Source organism: Homo sapiens, chromosome 11 (assembly GCF_000001405.40).
Source record: "Homo sapiens chromosome 11, GRCh38.p14 Primary Assembly".
NCBI classification, from domain to species: Eukaryota; Metazoa; Chordata; class Mammalia; order Primates; family Hominidae; genus Homo; species Homo sapiens.
This window is the reverse complement of record NC_000011.10, coordinates 7,067,893-7,091,480: the sequence shown is the minus strand read 5'-3', so window position 1 is coordinate 7,091,480 and position 23,588 is coordinate 7,067,893. Positions and strand designations below refer to the sequence as shown.

At 41.1% G+C, this 23,588-nt stretch overlaps 2 protein-coding genes across 4 annotated transcripts in view, besides 3 other annotated features; both read right to left on the bottom strand.

The window, feature by feature from the left end:
* Positions 1–332: 332 nt before the first annotated feature.
* On the bottom strand, positions 333–2,483 carry RBMXL2 (RBMX like 2). Its single transcript, NM_014469.5, has one exon. It carries the CDS (start codon positions 2,358–2,360, stop codon positions 1,182–1,184), a length of 1,179 nt encoding a protein of 392 aa, NP_055284.3. The 5' UTR covers positions 2,361–2,483; the 3' UTR covers positions 333–1,181.
* Positions 581–23,588, bottom strand: part of NLRP14 (NLR family pyrin domain containing 14) — a 70,455-nt gene continuing 47,447 nt past the window's right edge. Inside the window, exons 10-11 of one of the 3 annotated variants that reach the window (XM_011520044.2) lie at positions 21,025–21,195; positions 581–2,652 (exon numbers count right to left, since the gene is read on the bottom strand). In XM_011520044.2, coding sequence (XP_011518346.1) covers positions 2,469–2,652; positions 21,025–21,195 — 355 coding nt within the window. In that variant the 3' untranslated portion in view covers positions 581–2,468. Of the gene's footprint in view, positions 2,653–19,422; positions 20,309–21,024; positions 21,196–23,588 lie in introns of those variants that run through there. The other 2 variants (XM_047426867.1, NM_176822.4) reach the window with 2 other exon arrangements.
* Positions 11,429–11,723: an enhancer, noted in NCBI's record as "tiled region #4980; HepG2 Activating non-DNase unmatched - State 24:Quies, and K562 Activating DNase matched - State 8:EnhW". NCBI's record gives its function as "activates a minimal TATA promoter and a strong SV40 promoter by Sharpr-MPRA in HepG2 and K562 cells {active_cell/tissue: HepG2 | K562}" and the evidence as "EXISTENCE:reporter gene assay evidence [ECO:0000049][PMID:27701403]".
* Positions 14,141–14,340: a silencer, noted in NCBI's record as "fragment chr11:7098372-7098571 (GRCh37/hg19 assembly coordinates)". NCBI's record gives its function as "represses an EF-1alpha promoter that drives an FKBP-Casp9 reporter gene in an ReSE screen in phorbol 12-myristate 13-acetate-treated (for megakaryocytic differentiation) K562 erythroleukemia cells {active_cell/tissue: K562(+PMA)}" and the evidence as "EXISTENCE:reporter gene assay evidence [ECO:0000049][PMID:32094911]".
* Positions 18,569–18,863: an enhancer, noted in NCBI's record as "tiled region #5166; K562 Activating DNase matched - State 8:EnhW". NCBI's record gives its function as "activates a minimal TATA promoter and a strong SV40 promoter by Sharpr-MPRA in K562 cells {active_cell/tissue: K562}" and the evidence as "EXISTENCE:reporter gene assay evidence [ECO:0000049][PMID:27701403]".

Sequence of the window (23,588 nt, the reverse complement as noted above, 5' to 3'; positions counted from 1 at the left end):
TGTTTAAGAGGAAACTTACGTTCCTCTTGACAGATCTTGGAGAAAGACTCTAATCTTTTTCTGTTGAAGCCCTTCTCCCCACCTTAAAACTAGGAAACAACCCATCCAACCCCTCGCCTTTTGTGGACAGGAAAACCAGCCCCTTCATGCCAGTTTGAGATCCTCAGAGGTTGAAACGCCAAGCTCTTTCAGGGATTCTCTGACCTTTGCTCCTGAGCTCTGAAGCTGCTCACTTTTGATTCCTCCACCCCTAAGGGAAGAAGCTCAATTCTCTCCACAGGACTCAGTGGCTGGCTCTAGAGCCAAAGGCAAGTAGCTTGGAGTTAGGAATGGAAGCCATTACGGTCCCCAAGTCGACCACTGATTTATTTTCTACTTGTTTCTTAATAAATTTGTTGGTAGTGAAAATGAATGCTATCAATTGAAGGATTTGGGATTTGCTTGTTTTGTAGCTTTGTGGTTGGTTGGCCAAACCTTTGATATAGTATTCCACTGTTGTTCAAAACATAGATAGTACTTTTGGGAGTGAGGGGACAGGTGATCCTGTAGATTCCCAAAGAAAAAGCAAAAAGGCAAAACATGGCCAACATTATCCATTTACTTTTCAGATTTACTGAGTGAAAATAATTTTCTTTACATAAACATTTGATCTAAATCACTTTTGTTGTTGTTGTTGCTGGTTGTTTGCTTTTTAATACTGGAAACAAAGATTCAGTTTGAAAGATACCCTGAAATCTTAAGAGTAGCATACACCAATCCCTCCCACTCTCCACCCAAAATCTAGTTGGTTTAAATGAGCAGAATGATCCGTTTTTCCATTTTAGGTGAGCAGATGTTTATCAAAGATCTTAGAACTGTTTGCCTCATTTATCAAGAAAATTTACAAGGGAAGAAGCCATTAATCGAATTTCTACTTGTAAATGTAAGAAGACTAGTACTCAGGTTCATATACTTTTAACAGGAGCTTGTTGAAAGAAACGTTAACAATTCCAAAACTAAACTAAACGAATTTTAAGTTTTTTCTCCCAAAAGCATAAAAATGGAGACGATCTTAACAGGAAATTCTTAAAAGGTAAAAACAACTCTTCCTTGTACTAGTCCTTGGGTAGTTACCATACAACAGGTTCTTCTTTTTGTTAGTTTCGTTGAAAAGGGATTTTTGGTCCCAAGTCTGTTCCTGCTTAGTATCTGCTCCGGCCTCCTCCTCTCTCCAAGCGGCCTCCTAGACGGCCTCCGCCCCTGGGCACCCTGCAGCCTGACCGGCTGTAAGAATCACGCTGGGGAGGGCAGCCCCTTTCCATGGACAGAGAGAGCCCACGATCTGGTCTGCCCACCCGGTGTCGGCCCCTCGAGTAGCGGTCGCTCCGGCCATAACTGCTGCTGTAACTGTCGCGGCCGCCGCTGTAGGCATCGGGTGAGTAGCCCCGGTACTCCTCGTAGCGGCCTCCTCCTCCGTAAGATGGCGGTGTCCCCCGTCCTGGGGCGGCGCCGCGCAGCTCTCCGTAGCTCTCAAAGGGCTCTCGATGGGAGCCTCTGCTCAGATGATCCCCGTAGTCACGGTCGCGACCTCCGTAGCCGTCTCGGTCGCTGTAGCCTCTCAAGGGACAGTCGTCCCGGACACTGGAGTGGCCGTAATCGCGGTGGGTGTACTCTCCGGGCGAGGGGGCAAAACCCCGGGGTTCGCGGTAGTCTCGGCTCGAGTAGCCGTCTCTGGACGAGTAGCCCTCATCCCGCGGGCCCAGGTAGGGGTCGCGGCGCGGGGGCAGCGGCTCCCGGCGCGGTGGGCCTGAGTAGCCGTCTCGCCCCCGCACGGCCAGGGCCCTCCCGCGCATTCCACCGCCGCTGCTGCGAGCCGGGCCCGACGGCGCGGCCCTCTTGGGGGGTGGGCCGACCCTGCGCGGCGGCGGCCCACGCTTCATGGGCATCGGGGCCCTGGAGGGCCGCAGGTCGAAATCCGCCGTGTAGCCGCCGTCATCATCGGGCCCGCCCCGGGATGGGGAACGCCGCGGGCCGCCGCCACCCCCGCGGGTTCCGCGCAGGAACCTCGGGCGACCGCGGCTGCGGGGAGGCGGCGGGCCCCGCCGGCTGCTCTCGAACGCCGGTTTGGTGGCCTGGGCCACCTTGATGGCCTTACCATCCAGGGACTTGCCGTTCATGTCTCTGGCGGCGGCCTTGGCGTCTGCGGGGCTTTCAAAGGTGACGAACGCGAAGCCCCTCGACTTGTTGGTTTCTCGGTCTTTCATCAGGAGCACCTCGACGATGCGGCCATACTTGCCAAACTCGGCTTCGAGGGCTTTCTCGTCGGTTTCGAGGTTGAGGCCCCCAATGAACAGCTTCCCCGGGCGATCCGCTTCAACCATGTTTGCCGGTCGAACGGTCGGTCAGTGGCGGTGGGAGGCGGTGAGGCGGCGCCAGTCGCAGCCTTCGAGCTCGCTCGTCGAGGGCGGCTCCTACTGGTCAGGCGGCGCCTAGTCGCCGAGTCCACGGAACCGCAGCCGGAGCCCCGCTGCAGGGCGCGCCCCTGCTGCCTGTGATTGGTCGGCTGTTTCCAGAGGGCCAATTCGCCGTCGGGAAAGTCGGCAGTTTTGTGTCTCCTTTTCAGTCTTTAACTTCCTGTTCACCTGACCCGGTCTTAACGGCTTCAATGGCCTCCTGAAAGCTCAGGGAAAAGCCGTTAGGTGGAAAAAAATTTTTTTCTATTAGTTTTAATGAGAACAATTGTAATGATCCCAAACCTAAGCTACCCAAACCATTTTCAAACAGAAAAAAATAGTATGAATTTTTTAAATTACTAAAATTATTAAGTTAAAAATCATTTTTCAATTATTGAAAAATAGAGTAATAACAGTTAACAAGTTTAAATTTTACCTTACTGATCTTTTTAAACTAATCAGCTTTTAGCCTCGTCTATCCTCTGTTTTGATTTTATTTGGTGCTATTGTCTTTATTCTTTCTACATTTATTGGATTTATTGTTTATATTATTTTGTTCTAATTTTTTAAATAAGACACTTAGCACATTAAGAGTTTAAAAAATGTTTCTTCTAATTGTTATATTTAAGGTTAAAACTTATTCTCTATGCACTGGTTAATATCATGCCTTGAGCTGTAATATATGTTGTTTTCATTGTTGTTCAGTTCCTAAGATTTTCTCATCTTTGTTATTTCCTTTTTGGACCATGTATTAAAGAAGTATGTTTGTAAATTTTCAAACATATGTGCCTGTTGGTTATTTTTTAATATGCTCTGTACGATATCCATTGTTTTTCGTTGAGACTTGCTTTGTGACCTAATATGGTGTAATTAATGTTCCATATATACTGAGCAGAAAGTGTATTCTCTAAATGTTGGACAAAGTTCTTTCTTATTTTCTGATATTTAAATCTTCCCTTTTCTAACTTGTTTTTTATTTGATAGAATTGCCAAACACTAGAACTGTCTTAAAATTTACCATAATTGTGGATTTGTAAATTTCTCTTTGTCTTTATGTCTGGTTTTTGCTTCATGTAATTTAAGGTTATATTGTGAGATATATAAAAATTGAGAATTGCTACGTATTTCTGGTGAATACCTTTTTTATGTAATGATCCTCCTTATTCGTAAAAACCTTTTTACCTTAGTCCATTTTGTGTGATGCTTATAACTTTCGGTACTTTTGCAATTTCTTCCTAAATCTTTGCTATCAGCCAAACCTTTCCTTCTTCCTTTTTTCCATCTTTCTTGCCTTTTCTTGTAGTAAGTGATTTGTCTTTGTTTCTTTTTCCTCCACTATGGAAGAAGTTATGCCTTCTATTTCTACTTTTTCGAATGACTGCCCTTAATGTTTTTATTGAATGCTAACTTAAAAATGCTAAGTTTATAAATTTACTTATAAAATCAAGTTTACTGCTTAATTTTACGTGTGTATATCCATGTAACCATGACCCACATTAAAATCTATAACATTTCCATCACTCCAGAGGGTTCACTTGTGCCACTTACTAATCAAACCTAACTGAGATATGCTCTCCTGGCACAATAAGACCAGATAGCCACACTGAGGTTTGCAGCAGGAAAAAGGAGGGCATTTATTTGCAGGGCTCCAAGCAAGGAAGACCAGGCAGCTACTCTTAAATTCTGACCTCCATGATGGCTTACAGGTAAAGGTTTTTAAAGGAAAATGTAAATTTCAGGAAAGCAGAAGTTACAGACAAAATCATAAGTCAATACATGGAGGTTACACATTGGTATTGGCCCAAAGGAGAGATATCTCTTGAAGTGGGGGGCTTACAGGTCATAGGTAGATTCAAAGATTTTCTGATTTGCAGTTGGTGAAGGAAGAGAATTTGCAGTCAGCAGAAAAGAATGAGCTTTGGCTCCTGAGTGTGACTCCATCCAGGCCCCTCAGGAAGATATTTAGAACAAAGAATGGTTGTCAGAGTTTAGTCCCCAGTTCCCTCTTATCTGAGGTCTACCTGTCTGTGGAACTGTTTGGTGGGATCTGGGTTTCTGAAAGACAACTCAGGGACATATGTTAAGACATTATATTTAGTGTCTATAGGGGAACAAAAAATCTCCTGACTCTTAACTTCCATGGTTATTGTTTTAGGTTCCTATTACTTTCTTGCTTATCAAGTTCCTTATTCATTTAAGGAATCTGATGAAGTTCCTTAACTTCATTCCTCAGGGCTAGCTAGATGCATGGAATTTCCTTTAAAGGAACTCCAGATTTTCCTTTATTTCCATATTTGTGGGAGAGGGGTTGCAGAGGCCCCTGAAACAGGGTCTCTGCTCTGCAAAAAATGATAGGATCAAGATCAAAGTTTGGGCAAAAATTGGAGGGCTTACACAGGCTTTATGTGAAATGATTGTGTCTCTTTTACCTGAATGTATTCTGGGAATGGATATTGTGTCTGACTGGGGAATGTTTCCCTACCTAGTGCTATAAAACACAAGGCATATAAATTCTGCCTTTAAGCAATATTAATTATATTTGCTAAATAGAAATGAACAAGATTGTTGAAGCCCACACAGTATAGAATAAAACCTGAAGTGCTAGGATGCACAAATTCTGTGCATAGTGGACCTGTGTGGAGGGTAGATTAGGGCTTGTGGCAAAAGCCTGGAGGGCCTTCCAGCAACAACTACAGGTACTTTGAAGTGGAGAATTTACATCTGAGTCAATTACTAGCTCAATCTCGGACATTAATTGAAACTTCCCCATGACTGAAGAAAATGTAATAATCTTATTATCTTATATCAATTAGGATAGTTATTGTCAAAAGCACAAAAAGAATAAGTGTTGGTAAGGATGTGGAGAAATTGGAACCCCTGTGTAGTGCTAGTGGGAATATAAAATGGTACAGCCACTATTAAAAACAGTATGACAGTTCTTCAAAAAATTAGGAATAGAATTACCATAGGATTCAACAACACTATTTCTGGATATATAACCAAAAGATTTGAAAGTAGGTTCTTAGATATTTGTACACCCACCCACATAGCAACAGTATTCACAACAGCCAAGAAGTGGGAGCAATGCAAGTGTCCATTGACAGATTAATTAATTTAAAAATGTAGCATAGTCAGCCCTCCATATCTGTGGGTTCTACATTTATGGATTCAGCCACCAGAGGATCAAAAATATTTCACAAAACACTGTGTATGTACTGAACATGTACAGACTTCATTTTCTTGTCACTATTTCATAAACAATACCTTATAAAAACTATTTCTGTAGCATTTACATTGTATTAGGTATTATCAGTAATCCAAAGATGATTTAAAGTATATGAGAGAATATGTACAGGTTATATGCAAATACTACATAATTTTATATCAGGGACTTAGTGGTATCCTTGGTGGTCCTGGAACCAATTCCCCGTAAATACTGAGAAACTATTCTATATACACATAATAAAATATTATTTAGCCTTAGGGAAGGAAATTCTGACATATACTACAACATGGATGAACCTTAAGGACATTATGCTAGGTGAAATAAACCAGTCACAAAAAGACTAATACTGTATGATTTTACTTATATGAGGTGTCTAGTTAAATTCATAGAGACAGAAAGTAGAATGTAGTTGCCAGGGGCTAGGAGGGGAAAATGAACAGCTGTTGCTTAATGAGTACAGAGTTTCAGCTTTGCAGGATGAAAAAGTTCTGGGGATTGGTTACACAACAGTATGAATACACTTAACACTACTAAACTGGCTAAGATGGTGAACACAATGTTGTATGTATTTTACCACAGTAAATACGAATAAACCTAACACTACCAGACAGGTTAAGATGGTGAACACCATGTTATATGTATTTTACCACAGTAAATATGAATATACTTAATACTACCAAACTGGTTAAGATGGTGAACACCATGTTACATGTATTTTACCACAGTAAATATGAATATACTTAATGCTACCAAACTGGTTAAGATGGTGAACACAGTTATATGTATTTTACCACAGTTTAAATTTTATTGAAACACAGAGTTTTTCCCCTCACCAACCAATTCTCCAGCTCCTGGACACCAACTGGGTGTCCTATAATTCAATTTTGACACTAACTACCTGAAGTATTGCAGACCTCAAAGGGCTTATTTCTACAAGATTACCCCCAACTTCAGACACCAGTCACAAGAAGTGGATCCCCAGATGACCTACACTGCTTATCCGACTTGGCTACAAATTGGGGATTCCCACAACCCTCTCCTTGGGTTTGATAATTTACTATGATATCTCACAGAAATCTGGAAAACACATTTCCGGCTTATTATAAAGATTATGATAAAAGATACAGATGAACAACAGATGAAGATATACATAGGTCAAGGTCTGGAAGGGTCTGGAGTGTAGGGGCTTCTGACCCATGAAGCTGGAGTGAGCCACCCTTCTAGCAGGTGAATGTGTTCACCAACCTGGAAGCTCTCCAAAGCCAGCCTTTTCGGGATTGTTATGGAGGCTTCATGACATAGACACAATTGATTAAGTCAATCTCTAGTCCATTTCCCCTCCCTGGAGGACGGGGTGTGAGGCTGAAAATTCTCCACCTCTAATCATGGCTTGGTATTTCTGGTGACCAGCAGCCATCCCAAAGCTATCCAGTAGCCCGCCAAGAGTCACCTCAATAAAACAAAGCGTACTCCTATCTCCCAGGAAGTTCCAAAGGTTTTAAGACCTGTGTCAGTAACTGCGAGCAGAAACAAAACATATTTCTTATGTCAAAATAGGAATACACTACTGGAGGAGCAGGTAGACTCTTTTCCCCAGGACTGACTTTGGAATATTGTGAGGAGGTGCCAAATTCTATACTATGGATAGTACCCTGTGAATAGTTCTCAAATGACTAGCAGAAAGTTGTTTGGTTTATAAATAGCAGTTTCAAAGTGAATGGACAGCATCCTATTTGGAAGGCCACCTCTATGTTTGAAGAACATAAAAAACAAACCAGTTTGATGGGCAACATTATGTGCTATTTTCCTTATAGTGATGGAAGAATTGAACAAAGACAAAAATCCCCCACTTGAGATTTTACTGCTTTGTGGATGGTGACCAATGGCCTGACCATGTGGCCAGACAGAGAGCAATGTAAAACTGCCTATTAAAGGCATACCCATAGGAAAATCAGTAAGAGAATTTGGGGAGGAGTGCATTAAGGTAGAACACATTGGTACCCAACAGAAGAATCCATTTGTAGGTTCAGCAGGTGACTGCAATTGACCAGTAGATATCCCAGTATGCTTGCTTGAAGTAGCCACCTGGGTCCATGAAATGAGTGGACACTGGGGGCCTGCAGCAATGTAAAGATGGATGAACTCTAGACATATTCCTCTTGCACCTCTGAAGCACAAAATACCACTAAAAACTGTTTTGCCTTCCAAAAATAAGAGACAGACACTGCAGATGGCTGTGTGTCAACAGTCCCTGGGAGAAGACCCTGAACAAGCTGGTAGGTGGGACTGATGCTGGCTATGAGAGGGTCTTGATGGGAATAGACACTGGACTTGGCTTTCCTTACCATGTGATAGATGCAAATATTCAGAGAACTGTCAAAGAATCGGAATAGAAGATATTGCATCAATTTGGACTACCAAGTAACATTTCATCAGACCGAGGAACACCTCTCACAATCTATAATTTCAAGAATTGGCAGAGAGATATTTTCCTCAGAGTAATATAATAATTCAGTAGAGAATTGGAATGGGCATTTGAAACACTGGTTGCCTAAAATGGGAGAATATAAAAGCATGAAGAGCTGGCTTACATGCCTTTGCAAATGTGTGCTCACACTCAACAACAAGGAGACAAGCATCTCCTAGATAGATTCCTGGTTTTCTGGTAGATCAGCAGGATAGGGAGTGGGAGAAGATGCTGGTATGACTATGCAATTTCTCCCACAGGGAAGATGACTGATGACTATACTTTCTTCTTTCTTCCCCGTGCCACTTCAACTTTGTTTTTCCTACTTCATGGTCACAGGCTCAAGGCTGCAACTGCAAGTGCTGAAGGCAGTGATGATTCCTAAACAATAAAGTATAGCTCTATTCTAAACTTTATGTCAGAATTCCTACAGGCCTGATGGGTCAGATTGTGCCTTCACCTCATCTAGAAATACTGGGATTGACCGTGAACACAATTATAATGTCTAATGGTAAAAATAGCCCATTTCTATAACTATGTAACGCTCCCTATGTGAATGGTAGTGGGCTGATGGAGAGGTACTTGCTAGATTAGTATTGCTGCCTGCAATTAGACCAGCACAGTGGCTGAACCTAATGTCCCTTCCAAAGGTGGAAAAATTTGTATAAATGGAGAGAAGGAGAAATAGTAGATGAGGATAATGCAACAAATAAATGGGTTCTGTAATGACGGAAACTCAATAGTACTTTAACACCTTGAAAGAGGCTCAGAGCAAAAGATGTTATTATCTTTTACTCAGTTATATCTCATGCCTCGAAGGGTGAAACCATCTATTGCTGACACCGCTCCTGCTATTGGAACTAGGCAGGATCAAATGAAAGCCTGCAAACTGGAGTGGCCTCATCCCAGGAGACATTTTCATGAAATATGATAATAGACTGAACTAATTATTAAGAACTGAATGGGACTCTAGTAATATGCCAGCATCTTTCGACTTTATTTTTTAGTTACATCTACCATAATGTAATATTGTTTTACACTTGCATTGTTGGTAAAAAATATAATACCAATATCGATAGTCAAATGAATTGGAAAAAAAATGAGTTAAAAGCCTCCTATTCCTATACCACACTCCTTCCTCAAAATGTTGCTCAGACAGATGATCCTTTTGCTATAAAGAATTCATGGTCAAAGACCAAGGGGTATCCTGTGATGTAACAAAAATATATATATTTGGTTCTTGTCCTGGTTCCTGGTACAGACCTTCTAAAATCCTTGGAGACTCCTGAGTGGTAGGACTGTCTTTTGTTATCCATAAAGAGCCCCTTTGACCATGCCTGAGTTTATGCTAATGATGTGATTCATGGTGGGGGCCCTAGATTACTGTAGGGTGGGGGCTGTTCACCAGAGAAACAAACTCTGTGAATGGAGGGTCAGAAATTTAGCCCTACCTCCCACCCTGACTTCCAGAGACAGGAGAGGCACTAGAGGTTGTGTTTAATCACTGATGGCCAATCATTTAATCAGTCACGTCTATATAATGAGATCTCATATAAAAACTCCAAGCAGTGGGATTTAGGGAATTTTTGAATTGATAAACACATGGATGTGCTGGGAGGGTGGCATGCCACAGAGGGCATGGAAACTGTACACTTTTCCCCCTTCCTTGCCTTATGTACCTCCTCATCTGGATGTTCCTTCCTATCCTTTATAATAAACTGTAATCACAAGTGTATAGAGCACCCTTGACATAACTAACTCCATCTTAGAAAAAGACTCCTCTTTATATTTCATAGGATACTTTGCCAACAAGGATAAGATGTTTTGTTTAATAAACAAATTAAAAAAAAAAGATGGCATCCAATCACATAAAGACACAAACAAGAACTCTTCCACTATCAGTTCTCATCAGAGGACTCTGTGACTATAAAAGATTAGCCTTTCAGCAGCTCAAAATGCCCATCTTGGGTGATACTATCTTGCAGTCAAAGACTCTGCCTTGCAAGACCAACAGACCACCTAGACCACTTGGCTCAGACCAGGATTCTGTCTTCTTCACTTTCCCTGGACTGATTCATTAACCGTTTCTCCTATCTGACAGAGCAGGAGCATCACCATTTGGGACAAGGCCCTAATTCTAAAGTTCACCTTAATAAAAAAAACCACCTAAATCCAAAGGGCATCAGCCTAATGGCTAAGGTCAGCATGACCATAAACCACAAATAACATCTCCAACCAGAAACATTTCAAACTCCTCCCTAACCAAAGACATGCTGGCCCCTAGATAAGACCCCTCCGGCCAGGAAGATGCCAGCCTCGAGATAACTCCGCTCTGGGCCAGAAAGATTTCTGTCCCAAGACAACCTCCCCTCCTAACTGAGAGATTCCAACCCCACCATAAACTTCTCCCCACACACATAAACATTCCAAGCTTGTGATAAGCCCCCTCACCCTAAAACCAATATATACTTTTAGTCTGTAAGAGAAAGTGATCCTGACCACAATCGGCCAGGAGCACCTCTCATGTTTTAACTAAAGAAAACCTGTCTTTGACTGCCAAGCCGTGTTTCGTGTTTCTTTCCTCTTTCTTTAAGTCTTACGCTATCTCTTTTTCCCCTTGGTGATAAATATTATTTTGCTTTTGTGGAATGTTTAACATATAACATTTGAATATTGGTTAAGCACACTGCTATGTATGATATGTCATATTGACTGACTTGTGGAGTGGCTTGAACCTGTGTGACCATAGCTCTGGCTAGGGAGTAAACAGGAAGTACTATGGAGAATTGTTTCTGTGGGAACTCCAGGTGGCATTTGTGATTGAAATAGCATCAATAAAAGCCTGACATTGTGGAAAGACACAAACATGCATGGACCTGGTTATTTCTAATCTTGCATTGGTCACGACAAAATGTATAGTACTTTCTTGAGTTCTGTGAATGGTTGTAATGAATTATTGAATCTGAGGGCATCGTAGGAACCCCCAAGTTGGCTAGGAGACTACTGTAGTAATCAAGGATAGATAGTATATCATTTTCCAACAACAATTCTTAATTTTCTGACACCAACCATGTGTCCTACAATTCTATTCTGACACTAAGTACCAGGAATTAGTGCAGACCCACACTTTAAGGGCTTAGTCCCAATAAGGCTGCCCTCACTTCAGATGCCAGCTGCAAATGGGGTCCCCAGGATACCTAAACAGTTGCCAAGTTGTTAAATACGTAAGAAATTCTTCTTCAAAGGTTTAGCTTGCTGAAGTTTCCTTGTCCTTTGTTCTCTGCTTTCAAAGCCAGACTTCCTTACTCTCTGTGTTCCCCCTGCCCTGGTAAACAACCTTCCCGCCAGTCCTTATCTATACAGCCCACATTCCACATCTGCTACCCATGCTGTCAATTACCCCTCCTATCGCAATGGCTTCTCCCACTGACACTGATCTTCCTGCCTTCCCGCCAGTGTAACCGCATTCCTGCACTTTTCAAGTTAGCCAATCGGGTTCAGCTTAGATTGTGGGGTCCAACCCTAGCCAATGGGGGAAAGACACAGAAGCAGAAGCTGCATTAGAGATAATAAAAACCCCTGCTTTCCTTTGTTCTATGTGCTCTTGCCCTTGCTCCATACGTGAGATGCACCCTTCTGCAGAAGTAAATTTGCCTTGCTGAGAGACCCTTTGTCTTTTGTCTCAGTGCTAGTTCTTCTTTGTGGCACCAAGCATTTGTTTCCAACACAAGCCAACTGCAATGAAGAGGTTCTAACATATATGGTCTTCAAAAATTCTAACACCCATGGTCTAGACTACTTATTTTGAAAAATTATTAAGTAATATTTTAATGTATACTTATAATACCCGAAATTGCAAAAATACAATTGATGAATATGTGTTTATACACTGTTCTCTACGTGACCAGATAAAGAACGATTACTTTTTATTCCTTTTACAACTAATGGCAGAGAATTGTGGTAGATCTGAATGACGAGTGAAGGTGTGAATATTGGTGAACAAAGAAGAGTACACCAAAGGAATGAGAAACAGGCAAAGAGGGGGCATTCTCTACAGAGTATCTTACTGGCTACATTGGCCTCCATATCCTCCAAGAGAGTAACTGGAACAGGTAACTCTAGATGGGAATTTAGGGGGCGGAGAAGCTCCAAGATGAAGAAGATAAACGTATCCACCATAGAGAAAGAGAAAAAGGAATCATCTTCTTCCTCTGGCCCCCCAGAAAATCTGCACAGGGCTATGTCCTGACAAGGAAGAGTTGGAGAATGCAAAGAATTGTCTTGCAAATCCCTATCTCCTCAGGGTATAATTCCCTAAGACAATTATATGAGACTCTTTCCAACTAGAAAGGTCAGGGAAACTTCCCTGCAGCAGAACGAAGTGCCTGTGGCCTGGGACCCTTACTTTGTTCCTGCTATCTTCAGGGATTGAGTTCTGGTTCAATGGTCCAGACATGTGGAGCAACCCCATGGCTCTATACTATCCCACAATTCTTCAGTAGTAGGGAGGGAGACTCCCAATTTGGATACCTCCTTGTTTTTAAAAGATTTAATCAATTTTTTTTTTGAGACGGAGTGTCACTCTTGTCACCCAGGCTGGAGTGCAATGGTGCGATCTTGGCTCACTGCAGCCTCTGCCTCCCGGGTTCAAGCAATTCTCCTGCTTCAGCCTCCCAAGTAGCTGGGATTGCAAGCACCCACCACCATGCCCGGCTCTTTTGTATTTTTAGTAGAGACGGGGTTTCACCATGTTAGCCAGGGTGGTCTCAAACACCTGACCTCAGGTGATCCACTCGCCTCGGCCTCCCAAAGTGCTGGGATTACAGGTGTGAGCCACCATGCCCAGCCCTCTAATTTCTTTAAAATGTAATTTAATCTAATTCAATTTTTTTGTTTTTTTTTTTTTTTTTTTTTTTTTGAGACAGAGTCTCGCTCTTTCGTCCAGGCTGGAGTGCAGTGGTGCTATCTGGGCTCACTGCAAGCTCCACCTCCCAGGTTCAAGCCATTCTCCTGCCTCAGCCTCCTGAGTAGCTGGGACTACAGGTGCCCGCCATCATGCCCGGCTAATTTTTTGTATTTTTAGTACAGACGGGGTTTTGCCATGTTAGCCAGGATGGTCTTGATCTCCTGACCTCGTGATCCACCCGTCTTGGCCTCCCAAAGTGCTAGGATTACAGGCATGAGCCACCGCACCCAGCCTAATTCAATTTTTAAACTTAATTTCATCCAATTTATTTTTTAAATTATGGTAAAAATGCACATAAAATTTTCCATCTTAGTCATTTTTAGGTGTATATTCCAGTAGTGTTAAGTACATTCACATTGTTGTGCAAACACTCTAGAACTCTTTGTCTTGCAAAACTGAAACTCTATACCCATTAAACAACCCCAGGGTCCCCCCCACCCCACCTCCAGACCCTGGCAACTACCATTCTTCTGTCTCTATAAATTTGACTACTGGGAACCCCCTCTGATATGGTTTGGCTGTGTCCCCACCCAAATCTCATCTTGAATTCTCACATGTTGTGGGAGGCACCCAGTGGGAGGTAACTGAATCATGTAGTCAGGTCTCTCCCATGCTGTTCTCATGATAGTGAATAAGTCTCATGAGATCCGATGGTTTTAAAAAGAGGAGTTTCCCTGCACAAACTCTCTTTTCTTTTCTATAGCCACGTGAGACGTGCCTTTCACCTTCTGCCATGATTGTGAGGCTTCCCCAGCCACATGGAACTGTAAGTCCATTAAACCTCTTTCTTTTGTAAATTGCTCAGTCTCAGGTATGTCTTCATCTGCAGCCTGAAAACGGACTAATACACCCTCATTTATTCAAACAGCATGAACCAAAAGAGTGGCTGACTTTTAATTCACATATATTTATGTTACTTCAATGAATGGTAAGCATCCACTTTTCTGGAATCCATTTCTGTCTTTAGGAGAGTGGCTTCAGAGATTGGGACCTCGGCCCAGATTGGCGAAATTGCCCCCTGCGGGCAAAGAACTCAGAACTAAAGGAAGGAATGCTAGCCGTTGTGGGCTCTCGGCGCTGTCCAGGGTCCTGCTTTCTCTGGTGATGGAGACCAGAATTGGGGTCACCTCCTTTCCAGCCGCACCCACGCCCCTACCAGGCGCCCCACGCCGAGTTCCGAGGGCGTCTGGCTCAGGGACACAGGAGGAGGAGCGGAAGGTCAGGGCCTGAGAGCTGATTCGTCACACCCAATTAAAGAAATGTAAAAAGACAACCAGAAACGTGGGGCACCCTGGGATAGAATCCCGGGACTCCCACCGGATGCGATTCTAGGGAGTCTCCAGAGAGCTAGGTGTTTCGGGCAGTGACTTCTGCTGGAGTCTGCGGGGCTTCCCATGATAACAAGATCACCTATCTTCACCGAGTTGCTGGGAAGTTGGAAAATAATACAAGTGTTCCCTGGAAGAGTAGGATGCTTTTGCTTCTATTCATTCTTCATTCATTCATCAATTTTTATTCATTCATTCATTCACTCTTGAATCATAGCCCACATGTGCAAGAAGACACTGTGCTGTAGGCTGGAAATAAAATAGTGAAGAAAAGGCTCATGGTTTCTGTTCTCATAGAACTTACATTGTGATGAGGGAGACAAGCGATGGGAAATAAAATAAATACATATCTGTGATAGTGGTAGAAAAAAAAAAGAAACACGGTGCTTTGGTAGGAAAGGGGAGGGGGAGATGATGATATATAAGATAGAGTGCTCAACCTCTCTGAGGAGGCGATATTTCAACTGCAGGTTAAGGGATCATCCAGAGCCAGCTCTGTAAGGAGGAGGAAGAGGAGCTGAGTGGCCAGAGAGGATCAGGTATGCAAAGGGAAATGCATAGCCTTAATGCTTATAATAAAAGAGAGAAGGCTGGGAATCAGAAGAATCCAACTTAAGAAGTTAGCATACTAACAGAATAAATTTAAAGATAGCAGAAATAATGCAATAAAAATTCACAAAAAAATTAAAAAGAAAACGATAAAACATAAAGAATAAAAAAAACTAAAGTTAGTTTTGAAGACTCTATTTGCTTTTTTGACAATCTGACTTGACTCTATTTAAAATTGCAAACCCTTTCTTCCCCAGAGCTGAGTTTAGCATGAGGGGAGTGACTTGCCTGATGCACAAAATTTAAGGAGATACAAAAAAACTTAGTAACCAAGATAAATACTATTTTTAGAGACAAAAGTTAGTGCAAAAATATCCATAATGATCAAAATATCAAAATTTTCATTTGACTTATTCTAACCATCACCACTGTTCCACAGCAGTGACACTGTTGTAGAACCCCAAAATTTAGGTTCATATATCTGATGTGCAGTAAGTGAAACACTGACACATCATCCCTTAGGAGCAGATAAAAGTTTATTCAATTTGGCTAAAGTGAGAGGGCAGGAGAGATGAGCTCTCAAATTTGACCTGCCTTCGAACATAACTGTGGGCTTTTATGAATAAGGTAGACATGCAGGAGGGGAGATCCCCGATGATCAAAGCTATCTGCATCTCTAGGGTGATCAAACTTCTGGGTGCCATCAAGGAGGTCTGCATGACCTAAGGATCATTGTTCTTTAAAAGAAAAATGAGTTCATTAATTCTGCAGGTTGCCCCAGAATTTAGGATATGAAGTTAAACAATTACTAGTGACTATATTCCCTCAAAATGACTGTATACTCCATGCTTACTTGCATGGAGGAAGAAAAGAACAAAGACAAATAATAAGTAAAATGAACACATAATGATTTTTGTAATATAGGCTCAGTTATACCACCAGGCATGTTTTTAATATTTAAATGCTAATGCTTCTAAGCGTATTGCTATCAGTTTAAGATAAACATTCCTCATCATGTTATAAAACTACCTCACAAAGAGACTGAATTTTATTAAACGCCTTTTCAATGTAAATTGAGATAATTGGTTTTTCTGCATCATCCAATTAATGTGATAAATTATAATATTCCTCCTATCAGCCCACTCTTGCACTTCTAAGTCACAATAATCATAGTATATTTTAATTAAATGTTGAAATTTTCAAAAATTTTAATACTAGGTCTTTGCATAGTCATAAGTGACATTCATCTTTAAATTTCGTGATAGTGCTATTAGGCTTGAGAAATAATAAAATCCAAAGTCCCCAACTGACTGAATGGATCCCCAGTTGGCCAACGGAACCCTGGAAAAACCTTGGAAGCTGAGTTCCCATTCATGTCAGGAGAGACGGGAGGTCAGACACACCACATTACTCCCTCCCCTTAGTTAACTACCCTTAGGCTTTCTTCCCTACAGGCTAAACAGAAACCAGCCCTTTCAAAAGGCTCCACACCAATAATGTCAACAACTAGCTTATCTTCCCCAGGTGCACCAAAAAGACAAAGATTAATTATTCCTTCACTCCTGAGACATCTGCTTACTTTATTCCTTTTTTCTTCAAATGTTCACCTTATATAAAATGTAGATTTACTGGGCACTAAAGTCTGAAAACTATATAATCATTAATTTCACTGACACGTCCCCTTTTTAAAGGAAAATGTATAAATACTAAACCTCTTCAGATCCGCTACAGAAAAAACAGCCACAGATGCACCTGTGACCCCTATTTTTCCTAGATGCATTCTCAAGCTGGCTCAATAAATCCTGATGATTTGAGACTTATGCCTCAATCACTCATTTTGGTTGTCAGGTTCTATTATCAATAGTTTTCATCTTTAAAAAATGAATTAGAAAAGCTGTCTTCCTCTATAATGCTCTGAAATGGTTTCAGAAATATAAGAATTTTCCTTTTTCTGACAGTCTGGTAGAAATTATCTTAAGAAACATTTACCTTTGTTGGAGTTTTCCTTGGGCAGCTTGGAAATCCTGTTGTCTGTGAAGGATGAGACGATGACTGCAGCCCAAGGCTATCATGTGAAAGAGGTGTCACCACTTTGGTGTATACTTTCTTTTCTGTGTTTGTTATAATAGCCCCAGTTAGATTCCTCTAACTAGCAAGACTGTCCTCACTGGGAATCAACCTCAGTAAAGCCACCTCTCTATGTATCACCTATGCCAAATGTGAGCAGCAGTATTACTGTTTTGTGTGGATATCAGCACCAGTAACATTACTTGCAAATTTTCACGAAAACCATTTGCCCCCTCTGACTGCCAAGGTCTATTCTCCAGTCCTCCACATTGACTCAGGGGATATTATACGAGTGTGATTTCCTGGCCCCTTTCAAGGCACACAGGTCCTAAAACTTTGTGAATATTTGAAGCAGTAAGTGTTTTTGTATGCTAATGAGATGGCTGGTAGTTGGAGGCTCCTGGATAGTTTCAGGATGGGGGCTGGTTGCTAGGAGAACCAACCATGTGATTAAAGGGTTGGAATTTTCAGCACTCCCCATCCCGACCTCCAAAGAAGCAAGGGGATGCTGAAGGTTGAGTTTATGACAATGGCCAGTGACTTAATCAATCATGCCTACCTAATGAAGCTTCCACAAAAAGATGGGATTCAGAGAGCTCCCTGGTTGCTAAACACATCCATGTGCTTAGAAGGTAGCACAAGCCAAATGCACAGGGATAGAACCTTCCGAACCTCACCCTATGTGTCTCTTTCATATGGCTGTTCATTTGTATCATTTGAAATATTCTCTTATAATAAATGGGTAAACATAAGCAAAGTACTTCCCTGAGTTCTGTGAGCCATCCTAGCAAATTATGGAACCCAGGGAAAAGAGAGTTGTGGGAACCCTGACTTATGGCCAGTTTGTCAGAAGAACAGGTCACAACCTGGAACTTGCAATTGGTACTTCAAATAGGGGAGAGTCTTGTGGGACTGAGATCCTCACCTGTGGGATACAATGCTACCTCCAGGATGATAATATCAGAATAGAATTGAATTATAGGACACCCAGCTGGTGTTGGAAAATTGCTTGGTGTGGTAAAAACCCACACATTTTGGTGACCAGAACTGCATGGGAATTGACAGTCTTATCAAAGAAAAAGTGTTGGTTTTTGCCTTACAATAAGTTAAAAGGCTTTATTTTCTCCCACAGACAAGGAGAAAAACATTAAGTTTGTGGTGAACTAAGGAAGGCCACAAATTCTTTGACACTACTCCCATCAACAATTGATTCTCCCAGAATCTGAGCTGGCCTGTACTATTTTCACTAATGGAGGATTATGGAAGTGACTTTATGCCAGTTCTGGGCCTAGCTTTTAAGATAAATGGCAGCTTCCTCTTGGCCCTTTCAAATCCTGAATCCCCACACTGCAGAAACCACATGGAGAGGCCCTAAGACTACAAGCAATGTTAGAGTAGGTAGTTAGACAGATATGAGAGCAGGGCAGGAGAGAGGGCCCCCAGGAATGCCAAGCAATTCTTGAGCCATAGTCAAGCACTCGTAAACCTTTTCCTCTGAGATAATGAACAGGACAAGGGAGGGCCCCCAGAGAAGTCTGGCTCTCATCAGGTGAAGGACAGGTGAGCATAAAACTATCTCTCTGAGACAATAAGTGGCCACAACTGCCACCAGGAAGGAAAGGACTCCTCCAACAGATAGAAAACACCTGGAGTCAGCAAACCACAATCCCTGATAAAGTTTCAACTGTGTGCAAAGGGGAGCAAGATGGTGGACTTTGACCTGTATATGACCTTCCTCTGGGGGAGCTCAACCAGTAAGAAAAAATCATCCCAAGGGAGCATGCATACAACTTCAGTAAACACACCGTGCACGGGGCCTCTCACAAGTGGTGACAGGCCACTGCACACAGGTAATCAAGCAACAACCCGCCCAAGGGAGGGATCAACAGGGGAGAAGAGCCTGGAAGATGAGTCAATGTATAAAGTCTCAAACCAAGGATCAAGAGAGACACTTGAATCTCTCAGGTGGCCTGCTTGATTTCTTCCAAGTGTACTTTGCTTTCTTTAATAAACTTTGCCTCTGCTTTAAACCTACTTCTGCCTCTCAGTTGAATTCTTTCCTCTGAGGGGGCAAGGATCAAAATTGCTGAGAATCACTAGACTTCCGGCTGATAACAGGAAAAGGGGTCTGGCTCATCCCAGCCTTTCAGCCATCCCTGCCAAGGCAGCAGACGTGTCCAAGTTATCTGGGGCCTCCAGAGCAATCTGGCTGCCAGGTGAATACCACCAAGGGACCCCAAGTAATACCATGTGGAGTATAAGAAATGCTCAGCTGGGCCCTTTCTGAATTCCAATCCAAGTTATGAGATTTAATAAAATCATTATTGTTTTAAGCCACCAAGTTTTGGGATAGTTTGTTACACGATCAATAAATAACCAGAACAGTCTTTCACACACACACACAAAATTTATTGTGTCACGCTCTTGCCAAATGAAAGAATCTGTTTCTAGCTCTAGCCCAAATAACCTTATATTCCCTTAAAGGAAATTAATCCTCCTTATCTTTACAATAAGCTATAGAAAGTATTCATTGTAGAAGTAGACTCCCATTTCTATTGAAACTAGTGACTCTCAACTATTAGTATACTTAAGAATTTGCCTGGGAAATTCTCAAAAATGCTGGTTGCTAGCTGGTAGCAGACATTCTGATTTGGTAAGTCTAGTGTGGGGTTCAGGAATCTCCATTTTAAGACGGATACCCAAGTGATCTTGACACTGGTGATCCCAAGAACACATATGGAGACACATTTTAATAAAACGTGCCAGAGATAGCAGGGCTGTGAACTAAGCCATGTCAGTGGAAGTAAGGAAAAAACAAGGCATTTTAACTGATCTTCCCTGTCTGCATCCTCCAGCCTCATATCCAGGCTTCCCTTACCTGCATTCTTAAGCTCTGTATCCAATTAAAAACATACTTTTCAGAGAGTTTTATGCTTTTCATTTTATTTTAGCCTCTCGACCACTGTGTGAAGTAGAACAGACATTTTACAGAGAAGTAGATGAATGGTATCTGACAGCTGCCAAGTGCACTATCTCTGGGCATAGAGTATCTGAAGCTAAGCACCCAAGTCTGGGTATATATCTATGTATGTATGTATTTATATTTATATTTTTAAAGGAATGTCAGTTTCTTCAAATCAGAAACACCACCACCAAGACACATCTTCTTCATTATGATAGTTACAATCTGGCTTAATGATTAAGTGTGGATTGCTAACTCCCACAGCTTCCAGCAGCTTCTGGGCTTCCTCATCAAATGCCTCTTTGCACAACCTGAGAAAACAAGGGAACATCTCTTTTCCTGCATTCAATTTCCCTACAGCCCTCCACTTTCTCTGTAAAGGATTTATTTCAGGAGAAAAAAAACTGTTCTGTTAAAATAGAGAGATAATATTATAACATGGGTGAGGAGTGGGGAAGCGAACTGAGAGAGATACAGTGAGGGAGATAAAGTAGTGGAAGGAAGACAGAATAAATTAACAGAAGAGAAAGAGAAACCAATTAAAATTAAAAAGGATCCTCCAAGAGCCTTTTGCTATCCAAGCAAAATTAATATTACTACTGATAATAATAAAAACAGAGAACATATTTATTGTTTATTATCATGCAAGGCACCATTCTAAGTACTTAGCCTATATTGACTCAGATCCTCATGATAACCTTATGGGTAGATTTTATCATTTCACCCATTTTACTCATAAGCAAATCAAAACAAAGAGTGATGGGGGACTAGCCTTAATTAAACATTTAGTAAGTGGTAGGGTCAGAATTCAAGCTCATCTAGGCTGGTTCCAGGGTGCTCAATATTTAACCACTATGCTATATTGTATCTCTCAATATTCAGTGTTCTATGACAGAAAAACAAATAAGTGTCTAGAAAATACCCAATGATACACAATTAGGTGGATTCTGAGGCCTGTATTAATGAGTGGCTCCCCAAATCCCTCATTATAGGAAATGCTCCCCCTGAGAAGCCAATGGAGACTTACCCTAGAACTTGTAGTTTACACTTAGGAGACTTCAAGACTTTATATAACTTCACAATTCCTTCATATCCTAAGGTATTCTGTGTCAGATTCATTTTTATCAGTCTTTTGTTGCAGATAAGAGCAGAGGAGAGATCTTGACAGCAGAGAGATGTCAAACCACAGTATTCCAACCTGTAGAGAAGAGAGACAAAAGATAAAAATGAATTTATTCGATGACACAACAAAGCCCACAAGAGATCTGTGAACTCAGAATGGAGGATAATTCCAGAAACTTTAAAAAATGAGCACAGTTAGTATAAATTCAAGGACTATAAGTACCTATAATATTCATTATTACCAGATATTTCTAGGCTGAACTTATCCCTTCCAAAATCATGAATTACAAATTCGTAATTATTAAGGAATAAATAAAATATGCAAGCACGTTACAAAATACTATGAAGCAGTTGAATCCTTGAACATCACTAAAAATACATCACTATAACTAGATATTGGAAGCTTGGTAGTGAGTGTTTAAAAAGCAAGGAATAGGCCAGGCATGGTGGCTCATGCCTGTAATCCCAGAACTTTGGGAGGCTGAGGTGGGCAGATCATCTGAGGTTAGGAGTTCGAGACCAACCAGGCCAACATGGTGAAACCTTGTCTCTACTAAAGATACAAAAATTAGCTGGGGGTAGTGGTAAGCGCCTGTAATCCCAGCTGCTTGGGAGGCTGAGGGAGGAGAATTGCTTGAACCCAGGAGGCAGAGGTTGCAGTGAGCTGAGATCGCACCACTGCATTCCAGCCTGAGCTATAGAGCAAGACTCCGTCTCAAAAAAAATAAAATAAAATAAGCAAGAAATATAATAAGGTCTCTAGCATCATGCCATTGATGCAAATAAAAATGCAATTACATGGCCTATTTCGAATACATTAGGTCAGCTGCCTATAGGTGGGAAAGAGAATGGCTAATGGAGATAAATTAGCCAACCCACCCATCTGTCAGCCAAGGGCCTCTGCACAAGCCGATAATAGTATATACGTGAACTGAGGAAGTATGTCAAACTCAGCCTTCTGCATCTAACATTCTCCTAAACAATTTGAATCTAATTTTCACCTTATGTTTACCTGGCCATTGAACAACTGAGTACCTATATAGATGCTGAGCATACAAAACTTTTTTTTTGTTAAGTGATCACATTTATGTGATGAAGAGATAGTCCCACTAATTATGAGACAGGGTATGTAAATATCACACAAAATCTTCCTTAGGGGAAAAAGCATCGTAAAACAAAGTGTTATCATGAATTCATCAGGAAATATAATCATTTTATATTTTCAGTCACAAATTATAGTCTCAAAATATAGAAGACAGAAACGAACAGAACTGCAAAGACTCAAATCTAGAATTTTAATGAAAATTTTAACATTTTTCACAGTAACTGAGTTATCTGGAAAAAAATCACTAAAATTTAGATAAACAGAACTAATAATCTTAATTAACTGATACAGAATACTGCCACTGCCCAGGCACAGTAGCTGGCACCTGTAATACCAGCACTTTGGGAGGCTAAGAGAACAGAGTAGCTTGAGGCCAGGAATTCAAGACCAGCTTGGGTAACAGAACAAGACCTCATCTCTACCAGAAAAGAAGAAAAAAATAGCCAGACATGGTAGTGCACACCTGTAGTCCTAGCTACTCGTGAGGCTGGGAGGCTTGGTTGCCTAGGTGATTGAAGTCTACAGTGAGCTATGATCACATCACTGCACTCCAGCCTGGGTGAAAGAAAAAGACCCCGTACTTAGAAAAAATATAAATTAAATTAGAAATAACAATTTTTTGTGTTCTTAAGTATGTTTAAAAAGTCATGTAGCAAATGACAACAAACTTCAAAGAACTGTACTCATGCACAGTATGTTCTCAGACAACAATTCTACAGACTGAATATAAAAAGAAAAGCCTCATGCTTGAAAATTAAGGAGTATGTTTACAAATAACCTATTAGTTGAAGAAAAAAGTTCTAGGGAAGTTTACAAATATTGTGGACTCAAAAATAACAAAAACACTGCATACAACATCAAAATTTTATGATTAAGTTAACGCAGTCATTTGAAGGGAAGTTGTAACCTTAAATATCTTTGTTGGAGAAGAAGAAAGGGAATATGTATGTCTAAGCATACAACTCAAGAATTTAGTAAATGGTAAAATAAACCCAACAAAAGTACAAGAAGAAAAATAAGATAAAAACAGAAATTAATGAAATAGAATGTAGATGTACAACAGAGTGGATCAATGTTGTGTTCTTTGAATAAAAAATAAAGAAATGGTCAAATTCAATATCAGAAATGAGAAAAAACACATCACTATAGATGATTAAGAAGTTAAGCAAATAATAAAATACTAGATGCTTGCCAATAAGTTTTAAAATTTAGATGAAATAGATAAAATCAACAATATATACTTACTAAAAAGTACCCTATGAGAAAGAGAAAACCTAAATAATTATTTAAAAAATTGAATCAGAAGTCAAAAATCCTACATACAAAGAAACTCCAGGTTAGACAGCTTCACCAGAAATTGTTAC

Coding starts and splice junctions, on each gene's coding strand:
- RBMXL2 (NM_014469.5), bottom strand. CDS start 2,360: ATGGTTGAAGCGGATCGCCCGGGGAAGCTGTTCATTGGGGGCCTCAAC.